The following is a 15860-nucleotide window of genomic DNA, read 5'->3' on the forward strand; positions in this document are numbered from 1 at the left end:
GATCCAGTCAAGATTCTGGCAAAGGTATAAAATAATGCTAGTAAGTTAGCAAAATACAAGTGCAAAATGAGCAAAAATAAAAAGAGAAGATATTTTTAAAGTGTTCCCTTACCCCTGACCTCTTGGCTTTTGTTGTTGTTTGGTTGGTGTTAACTACGTTAGTTAATTGGCTTAAAACTAGCTTTTGATAAAATACCTTTAAAAAGCTGACGGCAGATAAGAGGCACAAATGATCAACCTAAAAGTAGTTAACATACAAAGCCACTGATAAATTCTTACCACCATAAAATCGAATCATACAGCCGAGGTCAGGATTTGTAGCCTCCTCCTGTATGCGCACAGGATCATCAAATCCCAGCCTGGATAAGTAATCATAAACGATCTGAAGAGGTCGTTCAGTAGGTTCCAGTCTCCTGATTACACAATTCAAAAAAATATATATATTTGGTAAGTAATAAAAATGGTTCATTTAATTTTTTAGTATTTTTATTTGTATAAATTTCAGGGGTACAAGTGCTATTCTGTCACATGAATATACTGCTTAGTAGTGAAGTCTGGGCTTTTAGTGTAATCCTCACCTGAATCATGTATATTGTATTCATTAAGTAATTTCTCATCCTTCACTCCCACCCCACCCTCACACCCTTCTGCTTTTCCAATGTCTATTACCCCACACTCTATTATTTAGCTACCACTTGTAAGAGAGAACAGGTAGTATTTGACTTTCTGTTTCTGAGTTATTTCACTGAAGATAATGACTTCCAGGTCCATCCATGTTGCTACATTAAGACATGACTTCATTCCTTTTTCATGGCTGAGTAGTAACTCAACATACAAAATCTGCTCTTGATTTTTATTCCTAGGTCAAGTTTTTCTTTAATATTCTATGATACAACTAATCTAAACAAGTGTTTTTTTAACTTTTTGGTGTCAGGACCCCTTTATACTTTGGGGATCACAAAGAGCTTTTGTTTACATGTGTTATATCTATTGATATTTACCAAATTAGAAATTAAAATTGAGAATTTCCATTTATTAATTCACCTTAAAATAACTCCCTAAAGATCATTCTACTACATGGTCCTAATTGAAAGCTAAGGTAAAACCAGAATGTCCTGCAATCACTTGTGGCCTCTGGTGACACTGTATTTTAAATCACAGACTTAAAATACTGAAAAATATTTAAAAAAAAAACAAAAGTGATGAATGTGCATTTTGATAGAAGGGGCTATAATAGTCATAATAGCAAGACAGCTCTTTTATAATGCTTTTACCAGAAACCAAACAGTTATAAATACAGTGGCTAAACGTATAGGCTCCAACAGTCAACTGCCTGGGTTCAAGTCTTAGTCCTGCCACTTACCAACTGCATGCCCCAGTATATTTACTCTCACTGTTTTAAATCCTCATCAGTATCATGGGAATAGCAACAATACCTAACTCATAAGATGTTTAAATTTATTTATTTACTTTCAACAAGATACTATATAGTATGAAAAGTGCTTAGCAAAATATCTCACATGTAGTAAGTGTTCAGTAAGATACTGACAATTATTATTCTAAAAAATTTTAAGATTGGAATCAATTTTAGAATAAAAATAGAGTATTTCTCCCATCTCAAACAACAACCAAAAGCAAGCACAGGAAAGTCCGTATGTGTTCAAAAGGTCTGAAAGAACATTTAAAGAACCTGTTAAGAACCTGTTCAGAAAACTTAAGAATAGCCGGGCGCAGTGGCTCACGCCTGTAATCCCAGCACTTCAGGAGGCTGAGGCGGGCGGATCACGAGGTCAGGAGATGGCTAACATGGTGAAACTCCATCTCTGCTAAAAATACAAAAAAATTAGCCAGGCATGGTGGCGGGCACCTGCAGTCCCAGCTACTCGGGAGGCTGAGGCAGGAGAATGGCATGAACCTGGGAGAAGAGCTTGCAGTGAGCCGAGATGGTGCCACCGCACTCCAGCCTGGGCGACAGTGAGACTCTGTCTCAAAAAAAAAAAAAAAAAACTTAATAATTATAGTATTAATAACTATAAGAAACATGATGCATTTCCCATCATGACAAAAACATATGAATGATGTCTGCATTTTGTAGTTTAAGAACTAGAAAATGCTGTTGGCAACAAGCTGAACATAAACAACTACAAAGCTGAACATAAACAACTGTAACAAAATGATAATTTTGGAACAGAAATCATACTGATGTACAAAAAAGACAAAAATAAAACAACCACCTGGCCTCTCCTGACTGCTCAGTTCAGTATTTTAGCTTCCAGAAACTATCACATAAACTCAGAATGAACTGCTACATGGGGAATGATCAAAGAAAAAAAAGCCTGTAACGACCAATAAAGATTGAATTAAAGAGAAATGGGAAATAAACTTTTCAGATTATGTAGACATCAATTACAATTAATCCCTAGCCAAACAAAACCAAAATTTACAAAACTCATTGTCTATGACAATCTTAGGCATTTTCCCAGCACAATGGTGGGATTCTTCTGAGAGAAAGACACGTTTTAAGGGGGACTTTTAATAAACTGCATCCTGGAGAGAGGTCAACTAACCATATAATATGAATAAACTGATGGAGGATTAACTTCAAGACAAGGAGAGTAAGGATATAAAGAGACAGATCTTCAAATGTTCAGACGGATTGGACTTAACTCTGTACTGCTCCAAAGAATGGGACTCAGAACAATGAGAAGGTGCATAGGTAGATTTAAGCTAAACATGAGGAAGAATTTTAACCATTAGAGATGCTCAACCATGAAATGAACTGCCTCTCAGAACTGTTCAGAGAGACCTGGAGAGCCATCTGTCACAGACATTTTAGAAGAAACACCTGTAAGAACCAAACGGGGCCAGATGATCTTCAGGGCATTTCAGAAATCAAGGGTCTATGAGGTATCTAAGGCACCTTCCTAATATAATACAAATTCTACCTGACCCCTACAGTTCAGTGTATTTAAACACTATAATTCCATATAAGGACCACGTATTCAGGACCAACAAACAATTATACTTTCAGGCTAAATCTCGAGTGCTCAATTTTTCTATTTCTCTCTAGAAAACTGAAAGAAATGGAAGCATCCTAATTCTGACATATTTTACACAACCAAATTTCCTGGCCTAAAAAGGCTCTGTAGATTTTGGAAACCCTCCTTACACATGTCTTTTTTTTCTTTTTCTTTTTCTTTTTCTTTTTTTTGAGCCGAAGTCTCGCTCTGTTGCCCAGGCTGGAGTGCAGTGGTGCGATCTTGGTTCACTGCAACCCCTGCCACCCAGGTTCAAGCAATTCTTCTGCCTCAGCCTCCCGAGTAGCTGGGACTACAGGCCCACGCCACCATGCCCAGCTAATTTTTGTATTTTTAGTAGGGACAGGGTTTTATCATACTGGCCAGGCTGCTCTCAAACCCCTGACCTCATGATCTGCCCGCCTTGGCCTCCCAAAGTGCTGGGATTACAGGCATGAGCCACCACACCCAGACCTCCTTATACATATCTACCGTAAGAAAGTATTTTCTTTCTTCTAAGTAAACAAGTAATATTTCAAGAAGTACAAAAACAAGTAAAATGAAGGACTAATTCCATTTACTCATTAAACTCTTCTGCTGAAAAAAGTAGACAGTATTGGGGAGGGAAATGCTATAATGTGCTTACAGTTCAATTTTGTGTTTCAAAGTTCCAAAAGTTTAAGAATCTGGTAATTAGCTATTTGTTAAATCTCTCACCAATCAAAGGGAAATAATATACTGCAAAACAGGTGTGAGAGAAAGTAATACTGGCAACAAAAAGTTCTATTCAGCATTTGAACTATTTCTACTACTGCTTTAAGGAGACAATAGTTTTGGAGTAACAGTTTTGGTTTGCTTCAAATGCTTGTGAGACCTACTATAGTCCATGTAAATTTGAATATATATGCATATGGTAATTTCTCTCCAAACCAGCCAACGGACATAGCAATGCTGTTAACAGCAGATTATACCGCTTAGCCAAGAGTAGTATCATTCTGTATTAGTTATTCTAAGCAGTCCCTATAGTTAAGATATATGTAAGAAGAGTAAATTTCATTCCAAGTATCATTTCACAAGAGTTTTAGTTAATAGTGGGGTGGCCAAACTATACACTATTAAAATCAAACACATGGAATCAAAGACCCTAACAAAGTATAGTACCATGTTCTACATCAAATTCAGATTAAAACTCAATCCTTGACTGCCTATAAAGGTAAAATCTGCAAATGTTAAAATCAGTAATATAGATAATAATACAAATAGAAACAATAGGGATACTTCAACAAATGTTTATTTCATACCTGACACTATGCTGAAAATGTTTAATTATTACAAAACTATGTCTATTTTGCAAATAAGAAAAATGAGATTCAGAGTCACACAATTAGTACATAATGACATCAGGGTAGGAACCTGTGTCGGTTTCATAAAACCTAGGTTCTTTTCAGGAAAACCAAATTATTTTATATATAGTTAAAATAAATTAAGCAGAAGAGAGCTCAAACCACTTTATGTGTTAACTTATTCACACCAAGAAACCTAAAAAAGCTATGTTTTAAAATTACCATTATTTCATTAAGTCCAATATATCATGATTTAAAAGATACACCATTTTTTTTTTTTTTTTTTTTTTTTTTTGAGACGGAGTCTTGCTGTCGCCCAGGCTGGAGTGCAGTGGCGCAATCTCGGCTCACTGCAGGCTCCGCCCCCTGGGGTTCACGCCATTCTCCTGCCTCAGCCTCCCGAGTAGCTGGGACTACAGGCGCCCGCCACCTCGCCCGGCTAATTTTTTTGTATTTTTAGTAGAGACGGGGTTTCACCGTGTTAGCCAGGATGGTCTCGATCTCCTGACCTCGTGATCCGCCCGCCTCGGCCTCCCAAAGTGCTGGGATTACAGGAGTGAGCCACCGCGCCCGGCCAAGATACACCATTTTTTACGCACCACTGCTGAATAATAAAGAATACAGCTGGTCTTTGTCCCTGGTTCCTGTGAGGAGACTCTAATCCTTAGCATTTCCTGAATAATAGGAGTGTCTTTGTTATTCATGACCCCCTTGGATCACCCCCCAGTTTATGCTAAGAGATGAGAAGACTCAGGACAGCGGCTGGTCACCAGAAAAGACCAACCACCATGTGATTAGAGGGTTGGGGCTCTGAGCCACCCTGACCTGGGTGGGGAAGCACAGGGGGCTGGAGACTGAGTTGAATCATGAGGTCAAAGATTCAACCAATTATGCCTTCATAATGATTCCCCAATAAAAACATTGTACTGAACACCAGTGGAGTTTCCCAGCTGATGAACTGTTCGATATGGTAGGAGGGTGACAGGCCTTGATTCCACTGGGAGAGGGTACAAAGTTCTGTATTTGGGACTCTTCTAGACCTCACCCTATGTGTCTCTTCAGTTGGCTGGTGCTGATTTGCATCAAGCTAAAACTGTAATTGTAAGTATAGCACCTTCCTGAGTTCTGCCAAGTTCTTCCTTGCAGACAGTTGGTCAGAAGTGCAGCTGGAGTCTGAAGGGCAGTCTTGCTGGGGCCTTGCCCTTTAACTTGTGAATTCTGCACTAACTCTGGCAGTCAGTGTCAGATCTGTATTACAGCAAGCCAGCTGGTGTCAGAATAACCATTAAGAAAAATCGGCAGGGCACAGTGGCTCACCCCTGTAATACGAGCACTTTGGGAAGCAGCAGTGGGTGAATCACCAGGTCAAAGCCTTTCTTTAAGGTGTCCACGCCGCCCCTAATCCTGCTCGAAGCAGCCCTGAGAAACATCGCCCATTATCTCTCCATACCACCCCCAAACATTTTTGCCATCCCAATACTCCACCACTGTTTTGTTTTGTGTTTCTTATTAATATAAAAAGACAGGAATGTCAAGCCTCTGAGCCCAAGACTGCCTGTACACATCCAGATGGCCTGAGGCAACTGAAGAACCACAAGAGAAGTGAAAATGGCCGGCTCCTGCCTTAACTGATGACATTACCTTGTGAAATTCCTTCTCCTGGACAATGAGTCTCAGAAGCTCCTCCACTGAGCATCTTGTAACCCCCAACCCTGCCCGCAAGAGCAGGTTGACTGTAATTTTCCACTACCTACCCAAATCCTATAAAACTGCCCCACCCCATCTCCCTTTGCTGATTCCTTTTTCCGACTCAGCCCGCCTGCACCCATGTGATTAAAAAGCTTTATTGCTCACACAAAGCCTGTTTGGTGGTCTCTTCGCACGGATGTCCCTGACAAAGAGATCAAGACCATCCTGGCCAACATGGTGAAACCCCGTCTCTACTAAAAATACAAAAATTAGCTGCGCCTGGTGTTGCGCGCCTGTAGTCCCAGCTACTCGGGAGGCTGAGGCATGAGAATCACTTGAACCCAGGAAGCGGATGTTGCAGTGAGCTGAGATTGTGCCACTACACTCCAGCTTGGGCAACAGAATGAGACTCCATCTCAGAAACCAAAAAAAAGAAAAATCTAGCCAGATGCAGCAGCGTGCCCCTGTAGTCCCAGCTACTCAGGAGGCTGAGACAGGAGAATCACTTGAGCCCAGGAGGTCAAGGTTGTAGTGTGTTATGATAGGGCCTGTGAATAGCCACAGTACTCCAGCCTGGACAACATAGCATGATCCAATCTCTATTTTTTTAAAAAAAGAAAAATAAATTTTAAAAAATTCTGCCAATTAAACTATAACCTACCATCAACTCTAATATATATGCTGATTTCAGAAGTTTTAAAATGGATAAAAAATGTTTCAAAATAAAGAAAATTATTTACCTATATTCCAATTTTGTAACATATAATGCATTCTTTTAAAATTTTTAAATAGCACAAAAACATGTAGGAAAAAAAACTCCCTTTCCCCTATTCAGTGGTAATCAGTTCAGTATGTATCCTAAAACAGGATGTTTCATTCCACCTTTATAATTTCAAAATATGGCAAACAAAATTTTAGTGACTCAGCAAATGGGAATCAGAACTCAGCATCCCAAATCCCAAGGGTGCTATTTTCTGTTATACACACCCTATTGGTTCTAAACTAATTTTAAAAGATAGCTACTGACTATTTAGAAATCTTAGTTTCTCTTCTCATCTGGTTAATGAAAAAATAAAAATTAAAAAAAAAGAAAAACAGTTGGTTATTTCGATGACTAAGAATAAAAGTATATGACCATCAGCCAAAGGGCAATCCATTTTATCACAAATGATCTTAACAACTTTTCAGACAGGAGGCAATGATTACACTAAGCTTCACTAGTGAGTCATTTTTATCACTCGAAACAGTTCAATAGAAAAGACAAGCCAAATATTTTAATTGTAAGTAGCAGCAGATTGAGAGACAAGACCAATCTATCACCAGCCAGCTGCAGGAATGTGCATTCAACCTGAACCCTCTGAGTCTGTTTTCACTGAGGGAAATGGCCTCAGTGATTCCTAATGGGGAAGTTTCTGACTTTTGGGACAGGAAAATCCTTGGCTGTACAAGGTTGTCCCACACACATTTTTCTTTTTCTTTTTTTTCTGAGACAGGATCTCTCTGTCGCCCAGGCTGGAATGCAGTGGTGCAATCTTGGCTCACTGCAACCTCCGCCTCCCAGGCTCAAGCGATTCTCCTACCTCAGCGTCCCAAGAAGTGCGCGCACTGGAACCACAGGTGTGCACCACCATGCCTGTCTAATTTTTTATATTAATATTTTTGGTAGCGACGGGGCTTCACCATGTTGCCCAGGCTGATCTAGGACTCCTGAGCCCAAGCAATCCTTCTGCCTTGGCCTCCCAAAGTGCTAGGATTACAGACTTGAGCCACTGCACTTGGCACACACACATTTCAATAAGTCTCTCTGGACCTTGCCACCTAAATTCTGTAACTCTTCCCAGCAGTTATGACAACCAAAAAACCCTGTCCCCACACATATTTCCAAATGGCAAGGTGGGAGGGTTACAGGGTAGATTTAGTTTCACCACCAGATGATCTCTCTAAGGTTTCCTCAAGTGCTAAAATTCTATAAATTAGTAATTCTTGAGTTATAGTCAAGTGATAACTCATGGTTAAAAAAAACATAAAGTAGTAATGAATAACTCAGAGAAAACGTGGGGTAATTTTAATCCCAGTAATCCCATTTCCAGGACCTAGCCTAGGGAAATCAGCAATGTGACAATACATGGGCAATGGTTTAGTCAATGCAACACCAATTCTAAGACTTGCATGATTTCAGACAACTGAAATAGGTAATATTTATTGAGCACTTGTTAGGTGCCAGACATCAATCTAAGTACTTTATTGCTATCTGAAGTACAGCACATCTCTTAGGAGCTTAATTGAAATGTACATTCTCAGGCTCCACCTAAACCTACTGAATCAGAATCTGTACTTGAACAAGCCCCACAGGTGGACAGTTTAAGCAGCACTACAAATATTAATTCATTTAATCTTCATATCATTTATAATTTAATCCTCATGACAACTCAACAATGTAAATATTATCATCTTCCATTTTACAGATTACTACACTGAAGCACAGAGCATTATATATCCTGCATAGTAACTGTCGAAGCCAGGATTTGAACCCATACACTCTCATTCCAGAATCCAATCTCTAAACCATTGCTGCATATTATGTCTCAATTTATAGTATATCCATACAGAGGAATATTCTGTAACTATTAAAACTGGTGTCTAAAGAATTTCTAATGACACCATGAAATTAAGATGATCCAGCCGGGCACGGTGGCTCATGCCTGTAATCCCAGCACTTTGGGAGGCCGAGGCGGGCAGATCACCTGAGGTCAGGAATTTGAGACTAGGCTGCCCAATATGGAGAAACCCCGTCTCTACTAAAAATACAGAAAATTAGCCAAGTGTGGTGGCTCATGCCTGTAATCCCAGCAACTCAGGAGGCTGAGGCAGGAGAATCGCTTGAACCCAGGAGGCAGAGGTTGCAGTGAGCCGAGATCGCACCACTGCACTCCAGCCTGGGCAACAAGAGTGAAACTCCGTCTCAAAAAAAAAAAAAGGAATTAAGATGATCCACTAAGTAGACAGGAGACAGGATATAAAACTGAATATGATGTGAGCCCAAATACATAAATATTTAAAAGTATGTGGGATTGAAAAAAGATCTGGGTAAAAATAATGTTACTATGGGGAGGCAATACAGAAGACAGACGTAGTATAAGAATGCCAGGATTCAAACTCCAGCTCTACCACTTAGTAGCCGATTGCACTTAGATGAGATGCTTAACCCTGTGAAACTTTAATTTCCTCATTTATAAAATGGGGACAGCGTCTACCTCACAAGATGGTTGTGAGGATTAAATGAGGTAATTTACATAAAGCATAAGCATTGATTATCATTTCTCTTTATGCTTTTTCATTTTCCAAAATTTCTTCGGTGAACATACTTCAGTAATCAGCAAAAAGTTCCTTAAAAAGATAATGCCTTAGATTGTCAACTATCTGACAAAGGGCTTTTACGCAGAAAATACTCCCTTGATTAGATAATGTAAAACTGATCATAAACAAGTAACAGCTGAGTAACAGATCTAAAAACAATCTTGAAATAAGCATGATTAAATAGTGAAACTGAGGAAGTGTCACTGCTGCGCCAGTTCCTGTCACAGCTGGCCTTTACTCAGAAAGAAGTCCATCATCTACCTTGAATGATTCAGGCATTCCAACTGCAGGGCAGTACCTGCCTGTCCTTGAGCAGGTTACTGAATCTCTCTCAAGGCCTCAATCTTCCTCATCTAAAAGCAACGATACTACCTCCCTTGGAGTTATTGTGAGGATTTAATGAGAAAATGTGCATAAAGCACTAAGCATACCAACACATGAAAGCACTTAATGTTAGCTGAAATCTACCATCATCATCATCCTTAGCTGGATAAAAGTTATTGAGCTCCTACTCCAGCAATGAAAATATATTCATTCTTTGAAACCACAGTTCAATAGTGCTTTCATTATTTTCTAATCAATTATACCTTCAAAGGGCTATTTCATTATAAATGATGAAGGCTACAGGGCACATAAGTAAATAAACACATAAGTAAATAAACTATCACATTCGGATTCTTAACTAATTACACAACTACTAGTAGCAAGCCATTCCAGTGGGGTTTTCTTCGTATTTCTAATATCTTTGTATACATAAACATTACTATACAAATGAATACACCATATACTTAAATAAGTTAATCAATCACTACCAGATATAATATAGGTCAAGGCTTTCCACCTGATAAAATTAGATCAGAATCAGTGTTAAGACTTAGAAAAGCCTAAGGATCACCCAGTCTGATCCTTTCGTTTTACAAATGGATTTAGCAAATGTAGTAAACTGGTGAACAAGGAAAACATTCAAATGCTAATCTACTTTTTCAGGAATTAGTCCAAATCCTAAAAGGAACACATAGTAGATCTCAGTTTAGACTTTAAAAATGACATCAAATTTTAGCTCAGCTAAAGGTGTTACTATTATTACCACACTTTTAAGGTGTAAGTGGGAGCTTCCTTTTCACTTTCAACAGTATTAAATCCACAGCTTTGAATTCTGTTTCAAGACACTTTTTCAATGACAGGAAATGCAGAAAGGAGAAAAATCATGGTCAGGCATTTAAAGACCTCTTATTTGACAACTAATTCAAAGAACTAACAGCGATTTTCTTTAAAAAGCTGAATCAAAGAGTTCACATGCATAGTATAAGACTATTATAAAAATATTTTCTTCACATTTGCATAAAAATTTTTCAACACACAAATGGCTTTTAAACCCATGAAAATATGCTCATTAAGAGAAATGAAAATTAAAATAACAAAACAACAAAATTCCTCTCACATTTGCAGAAATCTAAGTCACTTGGCCTAGAAAAAGATTTGTCGTTGGAATGCTGACTTTATGATTCTCTAATTTTAAAACTTTTAACAATCATTTCTATTTAAGAGCAAGTCTGAGCTCATTCATGTGTATGTGCCTCTATTTATACATAAAATTTACTACTAACATATTTTTGAGAAAGTAAGGAGAAAATAGATATACTTTCATATTTCTGATGGAAATATAACCTCTATGAAGAAGAATTTGACAGTAACTATGAAAATTAACAATACTAATATCCTTTGACCCAGCAGTTCCACTTCTAGGAGTTTATCATACAGACTCTCACATATGAGAGATACCACAGGTACATGGATACTCACTGCAGCACTTCTTGTAGTAGCAAAAAACTGGTAACAACTTGAATGTCCATTAATAGAAGACTGGCTAAAATTATAGTAGACTCAAAATTGAACACTACTGCAGCCATTAAATAAGTGACAACTATATAAATTTTAACATGGAAAGATCTCTAAAAGATATTAAGTCAATAATGTGTTGCATACAGCACCATGAGTTTTAAAATTTATAATATATGTAGAGACACATACTCACGCATGGGCACATATATGCTTATAATTTAACAGAATATTCCTAGCGTGCATAAAGAAGCTGGTAATAACTATCAAGAACAGGCCTGGGTAGTTGGGGAATGAGGGACAGAAAAGTACTTCTCACTCTATACCCTTTTTAAAAATTTCATTCTATTTACACTTTTCAAAAAAAAAACAACAACTTTTCTTTTTTTTTTTTTTGAGACAGTGTCTTGCTGTCACCCAGGCTGCAGTGCAGTGGCATGATCTCGGCTCACCGCAACCTTGGTCTCCCAGGTTCAAGAGATTCTCATATCTCAGCCTCCTGACTAGCTGGGATTACAGGTGCGCACTACCATGCCTGGCTAATTTTTATATTTTTAGTAGCAGCAGGGTTTCGCCATGTTGACCAGGCTGGTCTCGAACTCCTGACCTCAAGTGATACACCCACCTCAGCCTCCCCAAGTGCTGGGATTATAGGCATAAGCCACTGTGCCCAGCCAAAAAAATTTAACTTTTAAAATACTTATTTTTAAATTTAGATATCTGACCTATGGTGTATTCCAAATCAAAGAACTCTCAAATTTTCCTTGGTCAATAGTTTTTAAATTCAAGATTCATAAAGTCAGCCTTCCAAGGACAAATCTTGAAGCCCAGTGAGTCCGTAATCAACATCAGTTCCGGCAGAATTAAAATCCTAAAGTCCAGTTCTAAGCAGAAACACATTATTATTTATATTACGGTAGAATTAGAGTGGTAAAACTGAGACCTCACCTGACCAGGTCTCCATGAAGCTGTAAATAAAGACTTTCTCTTCCCTCTCCAGCACATATTTCTGATGCTGGTGTCTCTACAGTGCAAAGGACGAGATGTAAGTCAGAGGAAGAGGAGGAGGAGGAAGAGGAAGAGGAGGTGGTGGTGGTTGTAGTGGCAGTGGTAGTGTCTGCTCCATAAAGGTAAACACAGCCTCTCTTTACATCTTCTCTTAGCCAGTCTCTTTCTCGAGAACCAAACCTACTTCTCCTATTCAAACAATTTCTGCTCCCATTGCGTTTCATATTTCTCTAAAAAATATCAAGAGAAAGAAATCGTTAGCTAGAACATCTGACTGAATTAGACATTTCAGTCCTCACCCCACCTCTCTCTACTTTATATTCCCCAACATTCTGCTCAAGTATCCCCTCCTTTTGTGGAGCACTTCACATCTATCATGCTCATTCGTAATAACTCAGATAACTTAATTTTCTTTACTGCTGTCTGTGTTTCCATCCATCATCTTCGTTGACCTCTCTTTTCCTTGTGTTTTCAGAAACGTGTCAAGAATAACGAAACAGCGGGTTGCAGTGGCTCAGGCCTGTAATCCCAGCACTTTGGGGGGCCAAGGTAAGAGGACTGCTTGAGGCCAGGAGTTCAAGACTAGCCTAGGTAAGATGGCAACATCCCATCTCTACAAAAGAAATTTTTTTTTATATATTAGCCAGGCATGGTGGCACACGCCTGTAGTCCCAGCTACTTGAGGGTGGAGAACAGATTGAGTTGGAGAACAGATTGAACCCGGGAGATTGAGGTTGCAGTGAGCCGTGATTGTGCCACTGCAACCCTATCTGGGTGACAGAGCGAGACCTTGTCTCTCAAAAATAGAAATTTTAATATTTTGCCTGGGCACAGTGGCTCACATCTGTAATCCCAGCACTTTGGGAGGCCAAGGCTGGCGGATCACCTGAGGTCAGGAATTCGAGACCAGCCTGGCCAGCATGGTGAAACCCTATCTCTACTAAAAAATACAAAAAAATTAGCCAGCTGTGGTGGCACACGCCTGTAATCCTAGCTACCTGGGAGGCAGAGGTGTGAAGATTGCTTGAACCTGGGAGGCAGAGGTTTCAGTGAGCCAAGACAGCGCCACTGCACTCCGGCCTGGGTGACAGAGCAAGACTCCATCTCAAAAAAAAAGAAACTTTAGGCTGGGCAAGGTGGCTCACACCTGTAATCCCAACACTTTAGGAGGCCCAGGTGAGGGATCATTTGAGGTCAAGAATTCGAGACCAGCTTGGCCAACATGGTAAAGCCCCATCTCCACTAAAAATACAAAAAAAAAAAAAAAACAAAAAATTAGCCGAGTGTGGTGGCACGTGCCTGTAATCCCAGCTACTTGGGAGGCTGAGGTAGGAGAATCACTTGAACCCAGGAGGCAGAGATTGCAGTGAGCCGAGATTGTGCCACCGCACTCCAGTCTGGGCAACAGAGACTCTGTCTCAAAAAAAAAAAAAAAACTTTAATCTATAAACCATACACAGTATTGTCTTATCTAATTTAAACTTCATCTAATCCTTAACAATACTTATGTTTCACCCTGTAATTTTATTTAGTTCAATATTGCTTTAGAGATACAACTGTGTTAATATACCCAGTTCATTCATTTGAATAATATTCCCTTATACAAATACACCAAACTTTATCCACTCTCCTGTTGACAGCATTCAGTTTGCTTCCAATTTTTCACTGCTAGAAACAATCCAGCAATAAACATTTTTGTACATGTCTCCTTATGAAAATGTGTGTTTCTCTAGGGTCCTAACCCTTTGCTTTACATCCCAAATAAGCCAAGTGTAGTATCAACACAATACTGCACAAATATACTTTCCATTCCTGCCCTGTTTCAAAAAAAATTAATGTCGCATTTGATAATTTAGGTATGTGAAATTCATATATTGCCAAGTTATCTCAAAGCAAAAACAATTTCTACAGGTAATATAACAAGTTTCTAAAGATCAGCATTTGCCTGCTCTATTTTTATGATGGGCTATTTCTGTTCTTTTTGATAAAAAAGAAATTTCCACTGACATTTCCGCAGCCATACCTCTCCAGCTTCGTTCCCTACTACTGCCCTTTACTCCATGTTTCAATCACCTCCAACTACCTGCAGCTCTCCAAACACACCAAGTACACCACAATTCTGTGGCCTGTCTGAAATGGCTTTCTCCACCTCATCCATATGACAAGTTATTCTTCAAAATCCTACTCAGGCATCACCTTCTCTATGGAGCCTTCCATATCTCCTATCCTTATTCTCCCTAGACAGAATTAATGACTACCAGACATTTTTACTAGACAGAATTAATGAATTATCTAGACAGAATTAAGAACTTCTTCACCTTGAGTACACCTCTAATACTACATCGATGACAATGGGTTTTATTTATTTATTTGATATTTCTTCCTCTTCTCCATTTCTAGCATGTTAACACCTGGGTGACACAGAAGTGTTTGTAGAACTCAGCTGACATCACAGAAACCTATTCCCAATCTGTACCTTAGTCCAATTAGCTCTGGCAAGAAGCTGAACAAACTTGGGGGGGAAAATTCCCATTTCTATGGAGAACCCTACATCTTTGCAGCAGCTGCAAAGTGAATGGGAGTAAATAAAATACTTTCAGTAGTATTCCTCATTGGAAAATAGAAATACCTATAAATACAGCAAATACTATTTTTATAATTACTAAGATTAAATATTTGAGGGTAATACATTTCTAAAGATGTCAGAGAAAGAGGAATGAAAAGTTAGCAGGTATTTCTATGTGGGAAAAAAGAAAAACAAGAGTAAGAATGGCTTTATTGTTTAAATTTAGAACTCAGGAAAACTGATCATTTTGCAGATCTTGGGGATTTAGGCATTGCTATTCAAAACCATGAGGATTATTGAATCTAACTTTAGAGAAGTAGGATAAATCCCTGCTACAAGTGAGAACTAGTTTTCTCATCAAATGCATTTTCTCAAAGCTGAACATCTCAGAATGAAAGGGCTTTCAAGGGCTTACTGCATAAACATAGGGACCATCGTATTTGTACTAAGTAATTTTAACCACTGAATAGTCAAATACTGCTAATAGTTAAATATTTAGTAGGTAAATACTGTTAAATTTTAAATACTCCTCATTTTTTAATCTTTGGGAAAGATTAACTGGACCATCTGAAAACAGTATTCCATATAGTATAGCAATATTTATACAAAGCTCCGCATTCTCTACTCAGTGGAGAAAAAAGAGTAAGCAGACACTGTTTCACACAAACAAAAAAGTCGTCTTCAGAACAACTTTCTAAGGTCAAATAATGGTCCACTGACCTTCTAAATCTTAGAAAAGTCAAGGAAGACTCCAGGAAGTTTTGTTTGTTTTGAGACACGATCTCGCTCTGTCACCCAGCCTGGACTACAGTGGCGTGATCATAGCCCACGGCAGCTTCGAACTCCTGACCTCAAGTGATCCTAAAGCCTCAGCCTTCAGAGTAGCTGGGACTACATGCACATGCCACCACACCCAGCTAATTTTTTGTATGTTTTTAAGAGATGGAGTCTTGCTATGTTGCCCAGGCTGGTCTTGAATTTCTGGACTCAAGCAATCCTCCTGCTTGGGCCTTCCAAAGTGCTGGGATTACAAGCATGAGC

The 15860-nt window shown here is 38.8% G+C and overlaps 1 protein-coding gene across 2 annotated transcripts in view, besides 1 other annotated feature; it reads right to left on the reverse strand.

Annotated features, from left to right (window-relative positions):
- The window catches only part of PHLPP2 (PH domain and leucine rich repeat protein phosphatase 2), a 79778-nt gene that overhangs the window by 57395 nt on the left and 6523 nt on the right, over nucleotides 1-15860 (reverse strand). The window contains exons 1-3 of one of the 2 annotated variants that reach the window (NM_001289003.1): nucleotides 13236-13522; nucleotides 12194-12916; nucleotides 280-413 (exon numbers count right to left, since the gene is read on the reverse strand). In NM_001289003.1, the coding sequence (NP_001275932.1) occupies nucleotides 280-413; nucleotides 12194-12477 (418 nt within the window). In that variant the 5' untranslated portion in view covers nucleotides 12478-12916; nucleotides 13236-13522. Of the gene's footprint in view, nucleotides 1-279; nucleotides 414-12193; nucleotides 12917-13235; nucleotides 13523-15860 lie in introns of those variants that run through there. The other variant, NM_015020.3, reaches the window with a different exon arrangement.
- Nucleotides 5563-6191: an enhancer, noted in NCBI's record as "NANOG-H3K27ac-H3K4me1 hESC enhancer chr16:71741784-71742412 (GRCh37/hg19 assembly coordinates)". NCBI's record gives its function as "activates a minimal SCP1, AML or CMV promoter by ChIP-STARR-seq in primed H9 embryonic stem cells {active_cell/tissue: H9 hESC(primed)}" and the evidence as "EXISTENCE:reporter gene assay evidence [ECO:0000049][PMID:30033119]".

This window comes from Homo sapiens, chromosome 16, assembly GCF_000001405.40.
Source record: "Homo sapiens chromosome 16, GRCh38.p14 Primary Assembly".
Taxonomy (NCBI): domain Eukaryota; kingdom Metazoa; phylum Chordata; class Mammalia; order Primates; family Hominidae; genus Homo; species Homo sapiens.